Source organism: Homo sapiens, chromosome 9 (genome assembly GCF_000001405.40).
Source record: "Homo sapiens chromosome 9, GRCh38.p14 Primary Assembly".
Taxonomy (NCBI): domain Eukaryota; kingdom Metazoa; phylum Chordata; class Mammalia; order Primates; family Hominidae; genus Homo; species Homo sapiens.
The window spans coordinates 90,008,113-90,020,385 of NC_000009.12; the positions used below are offsets into that span (position 1 = coordinate 90,008,113).

The 12,273-nt window shown below is 46.2% G+C and overlaps 2 annotated features.

The window, feature by feature from the left end:
* Positions 5,735-6,934: an enhancer, noted in NCBI's record as "BRD4-independent group 4 enhancer chr9:92776129-92777328 (GRCh37/hg19 assembly coordinates)". NCBI's record gives its function as "activates an origin of replication core promoter dependent on BRD2, P300/CBP, MED14 and CDK7 cofactors, and independent of BRD4, by STARR-seq in HCT116 cells {active_cell/tissue: HCT116}" and the evidence as "EXISTENCE:reporter gene assay evidence [ECO:0000049][PMID:35650434]".
* Positions 12,032-12,201: an enhancer, noted in NCBI's record as "experimental_108919 CRE fragment used in MPRA reporter constructs". NCBI's record gives its function as "activates a minimal promoter by MPRAs in K562 erythroleukemia cells, with activity observed for both the introgressed and non-introgressed 9:92782511 variant alleles {active_cell/tissue: K562}" and the evidence as "EXISTENCE:reporter gene assay evidence [ECO:0000049][PMID:34662402]".

Consider the following 12,273-nt stretch of genomic DNA (forward strand, 5'->3'; position numbering starts at 1 on the left):
ATGATAAGTAACCAGCAAAGGTTTCATGAGGATGAGAGAGAGAGAGAGAGAGAGAGGAGAGAGAGTATGTGTGTGTGTGTGTGTGTGTGTGTATGTGTGTAAAGAGAGAGAGCGATTTATGTTGAGGAATTGGCTTACACAAATCATGGATTCTGAGAAGTCCCTGGGTCTGCAAGCTGGAGAGCCAGGAAAGCCCATGGTGTGATTCAATCTGTTTCTAAAGGCCTGAGAACCAGGGGAGCCGATGATACGAATCCTTGTCTGAGGGTCAGAGAAGGTGAGATGAGATGTCCCAGTTCAAGCAGGCAGACAGGAAGCACACAGGGTAAATTCCTCCTTTCTCTGCTTTTTTGCTCTACTCAGCCCCTCAATTGATTTGCTGAGGCCCCTCCACCTTGGGAAGGGCCATGTTCTTAAGTCATTCTGCCAATTCAAATGTTAATCTCTTCCAGAAACACCTTCACAGATACACCCAGAAATAATGTTTAAGCAAATATCTGGGCTTGACCCATGATCCAGTCAAGTTGGTAAATAAAATGAACCACCATATCTCACTTACAAACTCTTTCCCTCTAGATTCTAGAGCATCACTTTGATACTCTATGGTTCAAAATTATTTAGTGACTTTTTTTGGCCATATATTAAGTATTAATTGAATACAAAGCTGGTTAGATATTCAAAGCGATATGAGGAACCAGCCTTATAGCCATTATTCTGTACACATTCCTGGCGAGCCTGATGTCCCCTCAGCTTTCTTGGCTATTTGTCACTCCACACCTAGCTGCTTTTAATCTGGGGGTGTGGGGGTGGGCCTTTAAGACCTTTTGTTTCCCTTAAAATAGACTTAGGCAGTTGCTGCGTATAGCTGTTTTTTGTGGAAATGCATTTGTTACTTTTGAGAATACAGTGACCTCTTGCAGTTCTAGGAGTTCTCTTGAATTCAGAAGAGCCCCTACAACACCGAACCTGTGATTTTAAGGATCACTGATGCTTCCGTTGAAGGGCAGGTTCCCTGCATTCTCCTCTCCTGGGCCTTCCCCTCCCCATGCATTGCACTGTAAGTCTTCTATCTCTTTGTGCAGAAGGGAGTAACAGCAGGAATTGTTTAAGCAGCTCTCGTAGCCCTTCCATATGCACATTTTTGTAGCACACCAATATTAACCAAGGTGTAGATTGGGCACAATTTGCTTCCTAAGCAAATTCATCATGCAGGAGCCCATCTTTCCTCTTGATGTGATGTTGACTCTGCTCTCCCTTCCAGTGGCAAACAGATGGAAACTGGATTGGGAAAGCATCCCATGGAACAACAATCTTTTCTTCCTGTGGGACCTAGTGCATGATCCAGGTGGGGTCTGGAAGGATAGGCTCAGGGACAACGAGATGTGGGGGCATGAATGGCAGCCAGGCAAGCTGGGCTAGCTGAGCATAGCTCAGATCTCAGTCTGCAGAGGTCAGCCCTGGCAGAACATATGTGTCGGCCTCCTACCCCACAGATGAGCTGGAACGGCTCGCAGGGCTTCAGCTGGGGCAGGTGCAACACTTCCCCAAACAGCAGTTTGCAGGAAGTCCCATAGTTCCCACAGAGACTTAAACAGCAGAAGCAGTTCCTCCTGGCTGGACAGACACCCACAGTCCCACCTCCCTGGAACCCACATCTGTCTGTGAGCATAGTGGGTGCTCTGTGCCAGTTGATAAAAAATAGTGTAGAATTATCATTACTTGAACTTTTGCCTAACCTTTTATTGTGAAAAATTTGATATGTATCAAAAAATTGAAATCATTTTACAGTGAACACCATTTACCCACACCCTAAATCGCTCCTTTGCTACATAGTAGTTGCTTTATCACACGTGCGTGCTGCTAGCCATGCCTGTATCCACCCATGAATTCCTCTTATGCATTGTATTTTGGAGTAAGTTGCAGACGTCAGTTACATTTGTTTTTCATTGTAATATTTAATTAATTTAATTTAATTTATTTTTTTTTGATGGAGCCTCACTCTGTCCACTAGGCTGGAGTGCAGTGGTGTGATCTCCACTCACTGCAACCTCCAACTCCCGGGTTGAAGCCATTCTCCTGCCTCAGCCACCTGAGTAGCTGGGATTACAGACACGTGCCACCGCACCCAGCTAATTTTTATATTTTTAGTAGAGACGGGGTTTCACCACGTTGGCCAGGTTAGTCTTGAACTCCTGACCTCGTGATCTGCCCACCTCAGCCTCCCAAAGTGCTGGGATTACAGGCATGAGCCACCGCCACTGGCTTTTTTTTTTTTTTTTTTTGAGACCGAGACTTGCTCTGTCACCAGGCTGGAGTGCAATGGCGCGATCTTGGCTCATCGCAACCTGTATTTAATTAATTTTAAAGTTTCAAAGGAAGTTAATGAAAGGCATGATATTTTGTAATTACCAAAGGGGCCATGGGTTAAAACAAGCTGAAGAATAGCAGCTAGAAAACATGTTTTCCACTGTGAAGGCTGAGCTGTCTGGCCCTTAAGGAAGACAGGATAGTTATAGAAACATATTTGGTGGCCATGGTTAGTCCATCAAGGTCGGAAGACTCCAGCAGGTAGAGTCTGCGGCGCGCATCAGGAATCTGGGGGTGGGTTAGGCAGGGTGGATTTGTGAGATTAAAGGCACAGGGCTGAGGGACAACCCAGTAGATGGCACCAAGGACAGAAATGCAACCTGAAAACCAGTCTGGTGGCCTCACTGAAGTCTTGCTCTGAAGCACACAGAGAATGCAGGCCAGGTGTGACAAGCACAAGGAAGAGAGAGCCCGGCACCACAGCAGGAGGGCCCAGCATCAGAGGGACCGGGGGAAGATCCAGAACCTCTGCGGTAGCCACCTCATCCGGTATACCCGGGCTCCCGGGGCACTCACGGGCCAGCGTCCGACCAGACATCAGGGTGCAGAGTGTGGCTGCATGGACCCTTCGTCTTGTAATGATGGCCCTTGATTTGGGGTGGTTACATCCTCTAGGGGCACACCAGAACACTGCGTGTTTGCTTCTCTAGTCTACAAGGATTCTGTGTTCATTCCATTAACAGGGAATGGGCATTGTATGAAAGATGGTTCAGCCATGATGAAAGTTTGGGAAATTCCAGTTAAATCTAACAAGTTTCTTGACTATAGGACTTCTTAGATGTTTAGTGCACGATGTGGAATATGAATATCTAAGAAAGTAATGTATTATGAGGAGTTTCCCAATATTTCCACCCTCCATGGTTTGTAGCCTCTTTGGGAACTCATTTTTAGCACACGGCCCTAAGCTATCTGGGGTATCATTTGTTAATGCAGCTCACAGGACTCCATTGAGTTAAATTAAAGCTATATTCAGGGCAGAAAAAGAGAAAGCAAACAGTGCTTCAGACAGACAACAAGGCGTGGGGCAATCACACTTTTTCTCACCTGCTTCTTCATCAGAGCCATTCTGGGGGGAAAGACATAGACGTTTCTGCCCCTAAAAAGCACTGACTACCTCGGATCAGTCTAGGCTGCTGCGCGAAGACTTTCCTATTGCCTCTGGCCAGCTGTTTTCTTCTGCGTGGTTGTGGACTGAACCCTCTGCACATTTCAGCCCTGCATCTACGCTGTTTTATATGGCTTGGTTTTCTGAGTGTCAAGAGAAGGTCTAGGCTTTGGAATCAACATAACTTTTTCTTATTTTTTTTTTTTTTTTTTGAGACGGAGTCTCGCTCTGTCACCCAGGCTGGAGTGCAGTGGCACGATCTCGGCTCACTGCAAGCTCCGCCTCCCGGGTTCACGCCATTCTCCTGCCTCAGCCCCCCTAGTAGCTGGGACTACAGGTGCCCGCCACCACGCCCGGCTAGTTTTTTGTATTTTTTAGTAGAGACGGGGTTTCACTGTGTTAGCCAGGATGGTCTCGATCTCCTGACCTCGTGATCTGCCCACCTCGGCCTTCCAAAGTGCTGGGATTACAGGCTTGAGCCACCGCGCTTGGCCCAAAATAGCTTTTTCAAGTTTCCCTGCTCTATGATCATGAATACTTGTCATAAGCTCTCATTTTGTTTTATACACTAGGATTAATGATAAGTAATTAGCAAGAGTTTTATGAGAACGAGAGTTAATATAGATGCTGAGCCCTCCCTGAAATGTCTTGCATATAGTTAAGTGTTCAGTTAATGTACTGATGTGGTAATACAAGAATCATAATTGGTATCATTATCTCTGTTAAGATTTATTTCAAATTTCATAATGAATACTCAAAAAATATCCAGTGACTTGAGCTAGAAAAAAAGAAAAAAGTATTACATTAGAAAAATTTTTAAAGAATTGATTATATTATGTGTTGATTAAAGTCATATGATTTGAGAAAAATACTTTAGGATCAGAACAGAAAATGCTATGGTCTGTTTGTGTCCTCCAAAATTTATATGTTGAAATCCTAACACTTCAGGTGATGATGTTAGGAGATGGGGCCTTTCAGAGGTGACAAAGTCATGAGGGTGGAGCCCCCATGAATGGGATTAGTGCCCTTATAAAAGAGGTTTGGTGGCTTAAGCCTGCAATCCCAACACTTTGGGAGGCCAAGGCATGAGGATCGCTTGAGCTCAGGAATTTGAGATCAGCCTGGGCAATCAGTGAGACCCTCATCTCTACAAAAGTTTTAAAAATATTTGATAGGCATGGTGGCATGTTCCCGTAGTCCCAGCTACTCGAGAAGCTGAGGCAGGAGGATTGCTTGAACCCAGGAGGTCAAGGCTATAGTGAGCTATGATCACACCACTGCACTTTAGCCTTTGGCGACATAGTGAAACCCTGTTTCTGAAAAAAAAAAAAAAAAAAAAAAAAAAGAGGCTTAAGAGAACTCCTGTGACCCTTTCACCATGTGAGGACACAGAAAGAAGGCTCTGTCTATGAACCTGGAGGCAGGCTCTCATGAGACACTGAATTTGCCAGAGCCTAGATTGTGGACTTTCAGCCTCCAGGACTGTAAAAAATGTTTGTTATTCCTTGCAGTGTACAGTATTTTGCCACAACAGCCTGAATGGCATAAGTCAGGAAATAAGCAATGTTTTCAGAGGAATAATGGCATTGCTTTGGCATGTGATTAGTTAATAAATTGCCACCTGCTTCCATGGCCTGCTGCCATAATACAAAAGGCAGGAGGCCCCTGAAAACTGAAAGTGTACACTTCCTCATGCCCAGCCTTTCTAACTTCTATCACTTGGAACTCCTGGCAGAATGTGGAACTCCACATTCAGACTGTCGTGGAGTAGGAGTAGGAAGGGGCTAAAATGCTATCTCTCCCGTGCATTTCTGCTTGTGCTTTTCTGATCCCAGGACTCTGGAATTCCACATGCATGACCTCCAAGGGAAGGGGTGGGATGAATTAGTCCGAGCTTTAACATTCCCAAATCCTCCTCAAATTAAAGCAGCTAAGTTTTCATTTGTTGTCTGTTTGAAGACCCTTCATGAAGTGTGGTCTGAGAATAAGAGCTCCATTACTTAAAACACATTAGAAATTGAGTGATCTACTCTTCAAAGTTTCCAGTGATGGAGTGTTGAAACGATGCAGCCAAGCCTAGGTGGTTTTATACCTGGTGAGCCATAGCATGAACCTGTCTCCTGGACTCACCGACTCTCCGCTTTACCTCCTTTGAATTTGTAGCCTCTTCCCTTCTGCTAGGTGACAGGTGGCTATAGGTGCACAAGGGGTAGGAAACATCAGGAAGGTGAAATTTCAGATCCTAAGCAATTCCGGAGAAAACCCTCTGTCCACTGATGGTGTTCACTTCCACAGTCTTGGCTATATGCCCCCGTGTTAGTGCCCCAGGCACAGAATTCGGCCGCTTGGCTGGTGGCATCTCCCTTGGAAGAAAACAAAAGGTTAGCATCAGGAGCTGTCCAGGGGCCCACAGCACCGCTTCCCCACTTCTCTCATGGTTCCAATTCGAATGAACCTTCACCCTCCGACAGTGCCCTTCTGTGTAAGTACGGCAGCCCTCAAGGTCTCTGATACAGAAATGCCCCTTGTTAAGTTAACAGGACTGTTGCATTGGGTCCACCTTTCTGCCACTCTGACCTTTAAGGTGACCATTTGAAGCTGCTTAAAAGCCTTCTGGGGTCTACTGGGGATGACAACTGTGGGTATGCAGTGATTAAAAACGCTGAAGCGTTGCTTACACACGCCTACCCTATGTTTCTACTAAGCATGTGGCTTGAACCTTCAAGGATGATCACATTTTGCTGCTGTTTCTACCTGGGGTGTCCTCTCCTTCCTTCACTCCTTGGGATAGATGGGATCATGGCACATAGACACCCAGTCTCCCGGTCTTCAGTGTGGAGTTCACATTCCTAATGCAGGGTCTTTCGGATTGGCCATGTGTCTACTTCGGCCAATGCAATGTGGGCCAAAAAGGCAGCCTGCCCGTCCTACACTGACGCCTGAAGAGGCATTGCAGGTTCTGGCTTGCCCTTTGGCATATTATACTATGCCTTCACAGTGGAAGGGTGCCTCATTGAGTCACTGATCCAAGGAGTGTGAGGCACAGAGAACACACCTGGGCACATGCCGTAGCCTCAAGGCACAGCCAGCAAACCACAGCCTACTTACCGGCGAGAGAGGAATATAAATGCTTATTGTTGTAGGCCACTGAGTTTTATCCACAGCACTATTGTAGAACTAGCTCACTGATATGTTTCTTCTCCTTAATAACCCTTCACGTTGGCCAGGCGCAGTGGCTCACGCATGTAATCCCAGCACTTTTGGAGGCCGAGGTGGGTAGATCACTTGAGGTCAGGGGTTCAAGACCAGCCTGGGCAACATGGTGAAACCCCATCTCTACTAAAAATACAAAAAAAGTAGCCAGGCGTGGTGGTGCATGCCTGTAATCCCAGCTACTCGGGAAGCTGAGGCACAAAGAATTGCTTGAACCTGGGAGGCAGAGGTTGCAGTGAGCTGAGATTGTGCCACTGCACTCCAGCCTGGGCAGCAGAGTGAGACTCCATCTCAAAATAAATAAATAGATAAATAAAAATAAAATAACCCTTCATGTCCCGAGGGGAAGGGTGCTCTGTCTGCTGTGGGTGCTCATCACACTGTGTTCCGTTTACAGTTGGCATGCACCTATCTTCTAGGATGGAGCTCTATGAGGAGAGAGACCCTACTATTCACTTTTCTATTTCCAGGCCACTGCAGACTGTCTCATGGTAGGTCTTAGATACATGGTGTGTAATGCATGATAGTATAAATTAATCAGCGCCTCTCAATACTTTTGTCTTTCTTCCTTTGTTTGTTTTAGTCGTTTAAGATTGAACAACATGGTGCCTTTGCCAGAAGTTAACAGGAAACCCAAAAGGAGATGAGCCAGACTGGTTAGTTCAGAAGAGAATCGTTGGGGAAGACAATGGGAGCTGCTGTTTGAATGTGGCCCTGAGATTATTTGTGCTTTTCAATCCCATGTTACCAAAACACATTTCAAGCTGGCCTATAAATCACACCTTGTGCATAATTTTAAGTGGATAAATATTTGTCGCCCAAGTGAATGATGCTTCCAGCTTTCAAAAAATTGTATTAAGTGTGGTTATTATTATAATGGTATGAATGTTTACTCTCATTGCCTTGGCTGTGCAGATCCAATACAGTTTCTTTTTAAAATAGAAGATTTCATCTTCTTCATTGACTCCCATCTCACCAGGTAAAGAGGAGATAGGAGTCCATCCTCTCAGTTCAGGTTCTTCAGAAAAAGGCTCAATGACAAGATTGTGAGTGCAAGTAGTTTATTTGCAAGATCATCCTGGGAAGCTGCAATGGGAAAGCAGGCAGTAAAATATGTGTTAGCAAGAACTTTAAGCACCGTGGGCAACTGGAGCCCAACCCCACTGGGGAGCTTTGGAAGACAGTATAGAACATGCCTTAGAATGATCCTTCCTGAGGTGAGGAGCTGGGGTATGAATACACCCATCCCACTCTCCCACTGTCAGTAGCCGAGGGCTGCTCCCGCAGGGTGTTGATTTTCTGGTACTTTCTGACCTGCTCCACACATGGCTGGAGTGGGCTCTGGCTAGGAGTGGAAGAGGATCTAAGATGATCTGAGCAGGCTGCTGCAGAGTCAGCTATACTCAGACATCACATTGCATGTTTAACATGTCGCTGTCTCTTTAGATTTGAATCCTATTGTTTTGGTGGTATGGTCTCTTTTTTGCAAGTGCTCTGCCTTTTAGATTCCCTTCGTCCCCTTTCCCCTGTCCAATATGAAAGCAAGCCACCAGAGGAGCTTTCTCAGCCTCCTAGTGGGAGAGGAATGGGCATCAGATCTTGTCTCTCTTCTTCTGTGGCTGATCCATGGCTTGTATCTGGTGAAGTGTGATGCATTCCCACAGGCTTCCTGGGGGGTGTGTTCACACTTCTCACTGGGGGTCTTGAGTGTCACTCTTTGACCTCTGGTATCTACACCCACAAGCTCCTTTGGCTCCTTGTGTCACTCATAGCTGACTGAGCAGCACCCTGGGGTTCCACATGGAAATGGGAGACAGTTCCTTTGTTTTGAGCTTTCTGTTTCAATGTCTGCTGTGCCTTCTCACATCCCTGACTTCACCACATGGAGGAATGGCAGGGTACATATGGTTCTCTGCTTGATTTCCTTTCTCTCTCTTTCTCTCGCTCTCACTTCAAGGAGATCTGAAGGGATAGATTCTATCATGTCCTTCTCTCTCCAGCCCTGGATAATGCTAAACTTAATGTCTTATTGTCCAGGCCTGGATCTTAGCAGAAACAGAAAAAAAAATAGAAAATCCTTGACTTATAAAACAACTGTTTTGCTGCAGATTAAAAAATCATGTTCTAGATGTCAGAATATAATATGGAATCTTTCTTCATATTCATAGACTAGCAAACCTAAATATCCCTGAAGCAATTGAATGCCACCAACATAGTAAGAAGAAGGTCAGTATAAACAAATGCAAAAGAGAAAAGGACATCAATATATTTCAACAATATTGTCCCCATTTCATTATAGCCTCTCTACATTTTTTTTTGAAAAACAAGACTAAGGTCAGAAAAAATTTCAATCAGTCTTGTTAATTCTCTTTTTGTTTTTTTCCGTCCATTCTTTGAGCTTTCTCTAAGTTCAATTTTGAAATAACATGTACCAGTCACAATGCTATCATCTTTAAGGAAGACAAAACCAATTCAGACTGATCTAAAAAGGACCTTGTAGCCTCCACAGTGCCAACTTGGAGATGACCCTGACCAAGGCTGGGGCACCGTCCTCCAGGATACAGTATACACCCTTCCTCCAGAATCTTCTTATAGACCTGCCCTTCTACTCCCAAAGTCGTAGAACATATTTTTGGGAACCAAGAGGTGGAAGTAGGAATGAATCTGCTTACATCCCTCCTTGGGGGGACTTATCAACACTGGTGGGCAGAGATTCTCCCAGTGGTTGGAGTTTTCAGTAGCTCACTTGGAAATCTTTGTGTGAAGAAAGAAGAAGTTCGATGTAAGACTATACTTGAATTTATGGGTAATGTGTGATTTGGCTTGGGAGTCTTAAGGGAGATGGGTTAGGAGAGTGGGAAAGAGGTGGTCTGGGGAGAAGGCATGGATGGGTCTATGGAGGTGGGCATGAAGTGTGAAAATCTCTGTATCTTATGATAACACCCACCAGAGAGCAATTGCCATGTAGGAGGAACCAAACGACGAGCTGGACAGAAGGACAAGCCAGGTGGCATCAGCCAGCCTCTGATACTGGCGACCCCAGTGCTGGCATGCAAGGTACATGCAGGTAGTAGCCATGGTGCTAGGGATGGGGCTTATGCGTGAGCCTTGTGGAAGGCATCCACTCCCCAGGGCTGACCAGCTCCTGTCTCTGTGAAACATCCGCCTGATGCTGGAACATGGCACCGTCCCTCAAGTAGGCCAACCAATCATCGGGTGTCAAGTTGCTTACATTTGGATCCCTTTCCTAGAAGAAAAGAGATCTTTCTTGACTGAAATTGATTTATATTCTAGTTATGGGTTTGATGTTCCTGCATGTGCACCTTTGCCAGAATGAAAATCTGATGACCTGCAGGAAACACTATGCAGCATCCTCTCAGACCAAGGGACACCCTTATAGCAAAAGTAGTACAGCAGCAGGCACACGCACCTAGGTCCTCTGGTCCTCACCTCCCACGTTGCCCAGAAGCTGCTGACATGAAGGCCCAGTTATACAGACTAGAGGAGGCCCAGAGCAGTGCCAGCTTAGAGATGAGCCTGGGCAAGGCCAGGGCACCATCCTTCAGAATGCAGAATACACCCCGCATCCAGCATCACTTTATGGAGCTGCATCCCCCCAACCCTGAGTAGCAGGACGCAGGTCTAGGATCCAAGAAGTGGAAGTATGCATGGATCTGCTTACATCCCTCCCCAGACCTATTTGTGGAATAAGTTCTGTTTCCCCTCCCAGCAATTTAAGGTTCTATGGATCTAGAGATGTTCTTCCCAAAGGGGGAATGCTTCCATCAGGGGTCACAGCAAGAATCCATGAAGCTTAAACTTTGCTTAAACTTCTGAGGTTTTCATCCAACAAAGTAGGAGGCAGAAGAGGAGTCCGTTTCCTGGAGGGGGCCACAGGCTCTGACTGCCAGAGAAGAGAGGGCTGCCTCACACGACAGGGGCAGGGAGGAAAATGTTTGGCACTCAGGGGATCCCCAGGCACCACTTGGTGTTCCCTTGCCTCATTTTGATGGCAAATAAACAAGCACTGCAGCCAGAGTCTGAGAAGTGCTTGGTAAATAGAACCTCAGACTTCAGGAAAGAGGATGTGGGTCACCACATTAGGAGGGCCACAGGGACCAGCTCTCAGCAGACCAAGAGCAAGGAGAACATACAATGGCTAGTGGACGAGGGAGCTGAGAAGCATCAGTGGGGAGAGGAGTTGCAGTGGCTGCAGCCATGATTCTTTCCACTAAATCTCTTGGTTGTTTCCTCAGGAAGAAGATAGACAAAAACACCAGAGGAGCTGCTCCCAGATGGAGTGGACTTGCCATACAAAGCAAGAGAGTCCCAGCAGGGCAGGGATCTGTAGTGGATGGTGATGCAGCACCCAGGAAACCTCATCAGGATGTAGCTACTCCTTCTCCCACTGCGGGTGGTACCAGCTGCTGAAGGCTCACAGCTGAGACTCTCTAAGGAAAGGGGACACATAGCCCAGGTGATGCCCACTCTCCAGGGACAGCCTGCACCAGTGACTAGACGCAGGAGGAAGATGCCCACTGCCTGGCTTCTATTTGTGATGGCCTCTGAAGGGCTATCTCAGATCCACTGCTGCCTTTGGGGGAATGGAGGTCCTTGTGGAGACCACATTCCACCTGAAATGCCTCTGCCCAATCCTGCTTTCCTGACTTATGGTTGTTGTTCCCAAGAAAACACCCTCATAAATCATTTCCAGGGAACCCAACTGAAGCCATAAATCCCTCCAGAAAAAAATCTCCAAGGGGAGTCTCCCTGCAACTCATGGGATTGAATTGGGCCCTATGCCCATCCCTTAATCAATGACCCACAAAGAAAGTGAATTTTCATGCTGTCATCTGCCGGAATGTTGGGAAGTCCGTGACCAGCACATTGACCTCTCCAGCGACGCCCCCAGAGCTGCAGCATCACAGGAGTGGGATGGACCGTGTCGGCTCCTCTGGATCTTTTGTGGCACTGAGCAGGGGAATGCATTGCATGCCATCCTGGGCACCCGCTTCCCAGAGGAACAGAGCAGCTGCTGCTGGTCAATGTCTACCATGAGGCTTGCATCTGCCAGGCCCCTGTGCATGCGAACCAAAGCATGTACGAGTGTGCATATTTAAACTTCTCAAGGTTAGAGTCACTCTGTGTAAGAATAAACCTCAAATATTTAATGCTTGTCTTTAAAAAATTAAAAAGAAAAAAAGAATTCAGGACTTGGGGCTTCTTAAAGAACTTTAACAAGATAAAGTTCTCAATGAAAACTTTAGTGTCATGACAGAATTTTAAAAGCACAAAGCTGGAGGAGTTGCTGTTGCTTATGGTGCAGCAAAAGCCCCACTCTGTGTACTCTGAAACTTTAGTTCAGAGGATGTAGCAGGAGTTTTAGAAAAGTAAAAGGTGAGTATGTGTGGTCAAATACGTTAGATCATGCAGAATAACAAGGATAAATAGGCTTCTTTGCTTGGGTCCTCCGAGAGCATCTTCCCCCCATATTTCACAAACAGCCTGGGAGAAGCTGCCCGCATGACCTCGGAGAACCTCTTAGAATGAAGGTTGTATTTCCTTCTTATTTGCACGTGGACTGGTGC